We start from the raw sequence: 8321 nt of genomic DNA on the forward strand, positions 1-8321 counted from the left end.
TTAAATTTTTTTAGAGACAGGGTCTTGCTATGTTGCCCAGGCTGGCTTTGAACTCCTGTGCTCAAGCGATCCTCCAAACTCAGCCTCCCGAGTAGCTGGGACTACAGGTGCATGCCACTGTGCTCAGCTAAACATTTTTTTGAAATGCTCTTTTAAAATCAATTTTATTGAAGTATAAGTTACATACCATAAAAGTACTCATTTTGAGTGTACAGATTGACAAGTTCTGACAAATGTGAACAACCATGTAACCATCACCAAAAATAAAGATATGAGACATTTCCATTACCCCAAAAAGTTCCCGTGTCCCTCTCCAGTCAATATCCAGCCCTAGCCCCAGCTCCAGGCAACCACCAATCTGCTTTCTGTTGCTATAAATTGTACTTATCTTTTCTAGTGTTTCATACAAATGGAATCATACAGCATTTACTCTTTTGTGTCTGTCTTCTTCTGCTCAGTGTAATGTTTTTGAGATTCATCTATGTTCTGTGCCTCAGTAGTTTGTTCTTTTTATTACTGGATAATTCCATTATAAGAATATACCACAATTTGTTTATCCATTTACTGCCTGATGGGCATTTGGTTGTTTCCAGCTTTGAACTATTTTGAATCCTAAAAGACTGCCAGTTTTGAATGAGACCCCAGAACAATGAATGTAGGCTCTGTATACAAGTTCAGGCTGCTGGGCAACTTAGGCCTTAAGACACAACTCTGCCACTTAGGCCTTAAGACACAACTGACATGATGGTGCTTAAAGTGGCTGTGATGGAAAAGGAGGCTGTTTGGAGCCTTTGGAGTGCCTTTATAGGTGAACCCCAGCATAGCACCTAATGATTTGGAGCAAAGCTGTGTCATTCCCCAAAGATAACTATTCGCCTTTTGAGAAACATCTTCTAGCTACTATCAATAATAAACACAGAATGCATCACCATGGGCCACCGTGTTGTCTTTTGACCTGAGTTTCCATTGTGAACAAGAGTCATTTGATCCAAGGCAGAAAGTTGGGTGCACACAGCAGTGTTCCATCATCAAATGGAATATGAGATTGGGCCCAAGTAGGTCCTGCAGACACAAATAAGTTGCAAGAGCAAGTAGTACAGGCGCTTGGCCTGGCCAGTACTGTTGCCAAGTTGACTGCTTCCCCTCAGTCTGCATCTGTGGCTTCATGGGGAGTTTCCTATGACCACTTGATGGAGGAAAAAACAAATTGGAGCATAGTTTATAGTGCTGGTACTACCCAAAGTGGCTAGCTGAGGCACTACATCTCCACTCTGGGGTGCCCGTGAAGGACAGTGCCAAAGGAAAACCCCCTCAGTGAGCAGAACTTGGAGCAATACAAGTGGGTGTTCATTTTACCTAGAAGAGAAGATGTCCGTGAGTTACAGATCTACACAAAATCACAGAGAGTGGTTAATCGTTTAGTCTGATGGTCAGGGACTTCCAAGAGACATGATTAGAAAACTGGTGACAAGGAGTCCTGGGGAAGAGGCATATGGATACCTCTGAACACACACAAAACATGAGAATATGTATCCCATATGAATGTTAACCAAAGAGCAGCCACAACAGAAGAGGATTTTAAAATCAGCTGAATAAGATGATTCATTCTGACAGCATCAGCTAGTCTCTTTCCCCAGCCACTGTTGCCCAGTGGGCTTACATATATCATGGCCATGGGGGCAGGGCTATGTATGGACACAGCAACATGAATTTCCACTCATCAAGGCCAATTTGGCTCCAGCCATTGCTGAGTGCTCAGCCTGCCAAGATAGAAATCTACGCCAATATGGCACCATTCCCTGGGCTAGAAAACCAACTGGTGGAAGGTTGATTACATTGGACCATTTCCATCATGGAAGGGGCAGTGCTTTGTCTTCCCTGGAATAGACATTTACTCTGGATATGGATGTGCCTTCCCTGACTACTACAATGCTCTGCCAAACCTACCATCCATGGGCTTAATTTTATTTGTTATAAAATTTCAACCACCATTGCTTCTGACCAAGGAAGTAATCTTACAGCAAAGGAAGTACAGATATGAGCTTCTGATCATGGGCTTCACTGGCCTCACAGTGAAGCAGGTGGCCAGATTAGAACAGTGGAATGGATTTTAAAGGCTCAGTTACAGCACCAGCTGGGTAGCAACACCCTGCTGGCCTGGGGTTATGTCCTGCAGGATGCTTTAAGTCAGTGACCAATATATGATGCTATTTCTCCCATTGTCAGGATTCATGGGTCCAAGAATCATGGGGTCAAAATGGGAGTGGCTTTTCTCACTATCACCCTGGTGTTCGGGTAGTAATTTTTCCTTCCCATTCCTGTAACTTTGGGCTCTGCTATTGCAGAAATCTTAGCTCCTGTGGGGGGAATGCTTCCATCAGGGAATACAATGGTGGTTCCACTAAACTGACAGCTGAGTTTGCCATCTCCTCGTGCCAGTGAATACACAAGCAAGGAAGGGGGTTCCTTTCTCACCTAGGGTGACTGATCCTAATTACCAAGGAGAAATTGGACTGCCACTTCACAATGAGGGTGAGGAGTATGTACTCTATGTGTCTGTGATTAATGTCAATAGAAAGTGACACCAACCTAGTACACAGAGGACTGATCATGGTCCAGGCCCTTCAGGAATGAAGATTTGAGTCACCAGGCAAGGAACTTGGACTCACTGAGGAGGGCATATTCCAAGGAGAATATTTTATCTATGTCCATCTATGTCCATCTATATTCCATCTGTGTTCCCCTTGGAATTCCTATTCATGAACATGGGGAATTCCAAGGGGAATATAGAATGAGTAGTGGAAGGTAGTTATAAATGTAAGTCAAAAACCACACAACCAATTTGAGAAATGAGGAAGGTAATAGTGTTGAATATGTCTTCTTTATCTTGATATAAATGTATTTGTGCATATATTAACCAGTTTATTTATTTATTATTATTTTTTGAGATGAGCTCTCGCCATGTTGCCCAGGCTGGTCTTGAACTCCTGGGCTCAACTGATTCTACCATTTAGTCCTCCGAGTAGCTGGGACTACAGGCATGCACCACCATACCCAGCTGACCAGTTTTTTCCTATTCCTCTACTTAATTTCTCTACTATACAACATAATATGTGTTAATGGTAGTTAACTTTATATCTCAGTATTAAGTCACAAGATATCAAAAAGGGAATGCGACTTAGTTACAAGCAGAATGAATATCACTCAAAGATGAATAAAGAGAAGAGGGTTAGTGCATTTTCTGTTGGATGAGAGAAAGTTTCATTGTTAGGCAGAAGCATGATTTTGCCTTTTTTTTTTTTTTCCAAGGTCTCACTCTGTGGCCCAGGCTGCAGTGCAGTGGTGCGATCTTGGCTCACTACAACCTCTGCCTCCCGGGTTCAAGTGATTCTCCAGCCTCAGCCTCCAGAGTAGCTGGGATTATAGGTGCGCCAGGTTAATTTTTGTATTTTTAGTAGAGAAGGTGTTTCTCCATGTTGGCCAGGCTGGTCTTGAACTCCTGGCCTCAAGTGACCCACCTGCTTTGACCTCCCAAAGTGCTAGGATTACAGGTGTGAGCCACTGTGCACAGTCACCACGGTCTTTTTGGGAGGCAACTTTAGCATGGTTAAGAGGTGCGAATGGATGTTAAGCTAACACCAGGTAAGCCCTGGTAGATGTGTATTGTGTCAGTGGGCCTACGCTGGAGCCATGTTTCCCCAAATTCACTTTTCCTATGTACCTCTGGATTAGTGTGGGCCACTGGAGACATTTCACATGAGATGAGGAAGGTGGGAGTGAAGGAGCAGCATCTTTTTACACTAAGCAGGTCGGGGAGGGCATGTGGCTCTGTCTCACATTGTTGGGAATCTGTCCATCATCTGGTTGGCTTAGGTCAGTGGGTGAGTTCACAGCTGTTCCAGCTTCTGCTGGAAACTCCTTCGGTTTCTCTGACTGCTCCGTGATGAGGGCATCAGATTCTCCTGCAGAAAGCCCCAGTGTTGAAGTTGGGGCTTCATGTTGGTGAGTGATAGTTACGGGTTCTAGCCCAACCTGTGGTTTCTTGCAAATTTCAGTGTCAGCTCAGTCTTGCGGGTTTTGGGTTGTCCTTGCTTCCCACACTTCATGCCTTTCTTTCCCTCCTGACAGTCTGCCCTTTAGATTTTAGGATTCAGCACCAGCCACAGAAACAGCAACCTCACTGTTAAGGGTTGAATTGTATCTCCCCAAAAGGTAGGTTGAGGCCCTACCTGCCAGGACTTCAGAATGTAACCTCATCTGGGAATAGCATCATTGCAAATATAATTAATTAAGATGAGGGCATACTGGCTCAGGATGGGCTCCTAATTCAATACAACTAATGTCCTTCTATGACAGCCACAGGAAGACAGAAACGCCAAGGGAGAACACCATATGCTGATGGAGGCAGTGGCAGCTGCCAGCCAAGGATTATAACCAGAAGTCAGGAAAAAGCAAGAAGGAATCCTCCCTTAGTGATTTTACAGGGAGCATAGCCCTGCTGACACCTTGATTTTGGACTTTTATTCCCCAAAACTGTAAAACAATACACTTCTGTTGTTTTAAGCCACTCAGTTTGTGCTACTTTGTTATGGCAACTCCAGAAAACAAAAATACACTCAGACTGTTTAATCAACCTCCATAATTGCATAAGGTCTAATCCCTATAATAAATCCCTTAAAAATGTCTGTGTATATATATTTAAAAATATAAAATATCTTCTAGTGGTTCTGCATCTCTGGTCAATCCCTGACTGATACAGAATATGTATTTTCATTTCTAATGATGAAATACCTGAATGAAATTTCTAGGACATATGGTAAGTGTATGTTTAGCTTTTAAGAAACTGCCAACTTGGGGGAATTGCTTGAGGCCAGGAGTTCAAACAGCCTGGGTAACAGTGATACCCTGTCTGTACAAAATAAAAAATATTAGCAGCGTGTGGTGGTGTGTGTCTGTAGTCCCAGCTACTCAGGAGGCTGAGGTGGGAGATTCACCTGAGCCCAGATCTTTGAAGTTATAGTGAGCTATGATCACGCCACTGCACTCTAGCCTGGGTGACAGAGTGAGAAAGCTGGTCTCTAAAAAACAAACAAACAAAAAAGAAACTGTCAAACTCTTCCCAACATGTTGCCATTTTTACATTTACCATTTTACATTCTTACCAGCAATGATTGATAGTTCCAGTTGCTCCATACCCTTGCTGACCATTCCAATAGATGTATTGTGTTATCTCATTGTAGTTCTAATTTGTATTTCCCTAGTGATTAATGATGTTTAACATCTTTTCATGCACCTATTGGCTATATGTATATCTTCTTTAGCAAAATATATGTTGTTATTTGAAGAGCGGAAGTTTTACATTTTGATGAAGTCTAATTTATTGATTTTTTTTTTCTTAGATGGCTCATGCTTTTTGTGTTATCTAAAAAAAATTTGCCTTCTTCATGGTCACAAAGACTTTCTCCTATGTTTTCTTTTGGAAGCTTTATATTTTTAGTTTTTATGTTTATGTTTAAGACCCATTTCTAGTTACAATTTGTGTGATTTTTTGGAAGGGTCAAGGTTCATTTTCTTTTCCATAAGAATGTACAGTTGTTCTAGCACCCTTGTTAAAAAGACTTTCCTTTCCCCATTGAACTACTTTGTCAAAAATCAACTGAGCATATATGGGCATCATGAATTTTAATCCTGTTAGAACTGAATGTTCCCAAGGCAGGCCATGCCCATGACTGACCTCCTTTCCTTGGATTGCCTACAAAACAGATAAAGCTAAGTCTGGAGCAAAGAAATCCATGTCTAACCTGTATTTTTTTTTTTTTTTTTTTAGATGGGGTCTCGCTCTGTCACCCAGGCTGGAGTGCAGTGGCGTGATCCCAGCTCACTGCAATCTCTGCCTCCTGGGTTCAAGTGATTCTCCTGCCTCAGCCTCCCGAGGGGCTGGGATTGTAGGCGTGCACCACTATGCCCATCTAATTTTTGTATTTTTAGTAGAGATAGGGTTTTGCCATTTTGGCCAGACTGTCTTGAACTCCTGACCTCAGGTGATCTGCCTGCCTCGGCCTCCCACAGTTTTGTGATTATAGGCATGAGCCACCGTGCCCGGCCTTAACCTTTGTTTTCTTACACAACACACTACGTGATGTTTTCCACATGCATGGGTCATTTGCTTCATTTACGTACAAATGCATAAGCAATATACTGTGTGGTGTGAGTTTGTGATGGGAAAAGGAAGAAGTTTTGCGGATACTACACTGGCTTCCTGCTATCTGTCTGTGTGAATGGCTATGGACTTTGTCTTCTATTTGTTCGCTTAGCGCAGATATGATCAGCTTACAACTTAAGATTCTAGAGAAAGAGGGTCATATCTGTAAAGCACTCTGAGCATGTGTGAAGTTTAATCAATAGCATATGAGGTTACAGCAAATTCACTATCTTTGTTTCTTCAGCTATAGAATGGCATGAGGATTCATCTCAATTTAGTTCAATTCTGTTCAGAACCATGAGCTAGCTGTTCATGGAAGGAAAGCCCACCTGATTGTGGCCAGGGAAGGAGAAACAACACTTTAACCAGGTTGATTTGGTTCTCACAGACACCATTGGCATGTGACATCTGGAACAGACCATGCCTGGTCTCTGTTCGTATCACTTACTATTCAGCTCAATATTGGTCTGAATATTCTTTAGACTGACTGAAATGAAAAGGAACTGTTGTGTAACCATCCATAATTCCAGCCTGTAGACCTGGGCTGTATCTCTATGCCCTGCCTGGCACAGACCCCACCTCCTGCTCCTTCTCCCTCACCACCAGTCAATCCTTGTCCTAATGAACAGGGAGGGCAACCCTGAATGGGGAGTGGAGGGAAGAGATGTCATGAGATGGCAACGTGCACCCTGAAGTGAGGATGAAGGCTATGTGAATGTTGTAGGCTGACAGCCGGGCATAGTGGCCCCGTTGCCATGGCGATGGAGGCATGTTGATGCGAAGTGTCTGCACAGCTCCTAGGATTTTTAACAGCAGCTGGGCAGAGCCTCGGCGTCCCTGAATTGTTGCCCCCCTGAGTCACTGCTTGGCCCCAGCTGTCCTGATCTCTGTTGACAAATGGTTGTCCTTCACAGTCAAACTACTAACAGTACTCTAATTAATGAATGTGCTAATTATTCTTGCCTACTCCCAGCATATTTGTCTAACTAACCTGTCACACACAGATCAGTGCAGCATATGCATAATTACGGAGAGCGCTGGGAGCAGGGGATGGGTGGGAGAGGGGTGGGCTCGCAGCCCTGTCGCTGTGGGATATTTCTTGTAAAGTTACCTTTGCTAACGGTCAGATGTCGTGGGGATATGTTATTTCCCGTGAAGTGTATATGTCTTCCTTTCTTTCCTTTCTAAGAATCTCTCTTCAGGGCTGAGGGGCCATTGCTCAGTGCTTTAGCCTGTGAGGGGATTGCCAGGTACAAATGCAGAAGGACCAGGGAGCCCAGGTTCTGAAGACGATTCCGGTAGCAGCACGTAGGGTGATTAAAACTCCAGACTTTAAAGCCAGACCGGCCTGGGCTTGAACCCTTGTTCTGCTCCTTGCTATGTGGGTCTTTGCCTTGACCACATTTTTTTTTTTTTTTTAAGACAGGATCTCCCTCTCTTGCCCAGGCTGTAATGCAGTGTTGCGATCACAGCTCACTGAAGCCTCCATCTCTACAGCCTCAAGCGATCCTCCTGCCTCAGCCCCGAGTAGCTGGGACTACAGGTCTGTGCCACCACGTCCAGCTAATTTACTTTTGTAGAGTTGGGGGTCTTGCTATGTTGCCCAGGCTGTTCTCCAACTCCTGGACTCAAGCCATCCTCTAGCCTCGGCCTTCCAAAGTGCTGGGACTATAGGCGTGAGCCACGGTGCCAGGCCCTTGACCACATTTTTAACCCCTCTGAACCTCAGTTTCACTTTCTGGGCAATGGGAGGGGGGTAATTTGTCCCTCAGAGGGTTGCACTGAGGGGCAAATGTGAGGCTCTGGGTACAATGCCCAGTACAGACTAGGTCCCCACGACACAGCCGCTCAGCGGCTCCGGATTCTGGGCTGCTCTGGACTGCGGCCAGGCGGTCTTCTGCGGGAATCCGGGCAGGCAGGGCGGGCTGCGCTCCCCTCCCCGGCTCTCCCGGTGCCCCTTGTCTTTTTGTTCTGTCTCAGCAGCTCTCTATTAAGATGAATGGCATTTCCAAAGGCTTCACCTCTGATAAGTGTTCCTCTGCAGCTGCAGCCAGAATCTTAATGTGCGCGCTGTAATTTAATGGCCGTCTCGGCTATTAACACGCTCTTCTCGGGTGAA

The 8321-nt window shown here is 44.5% G+C and overlaps 1 protein-coding gene across 1 annotated transcript in view; it reads left to right on the plus strand.

Moving 5' to 3' along the window:
- ALOX5AP (arachidonate 5-lipoxygenase activating protein) overlaps window positions 1-8321 on the plus strand; it is a 50942-nt gene that overhangs the window by 10286 nt on the left and 32335 nt on the right. The gene's annotated exons all lie outside the window — the stretch shown is intronic.

Source organism: Homo sapiens, chromosome 13 (assembly GCF_000001405.40).
Source record: "Homo sapiens chromosome 13, GRCh38.p14 Primary Assembly".
Lineage (NCBI taxonomy): Eukaryota > Metazoa > Chordata > Mammalia > Primates > Hominidae > Homo > Homo sapiens.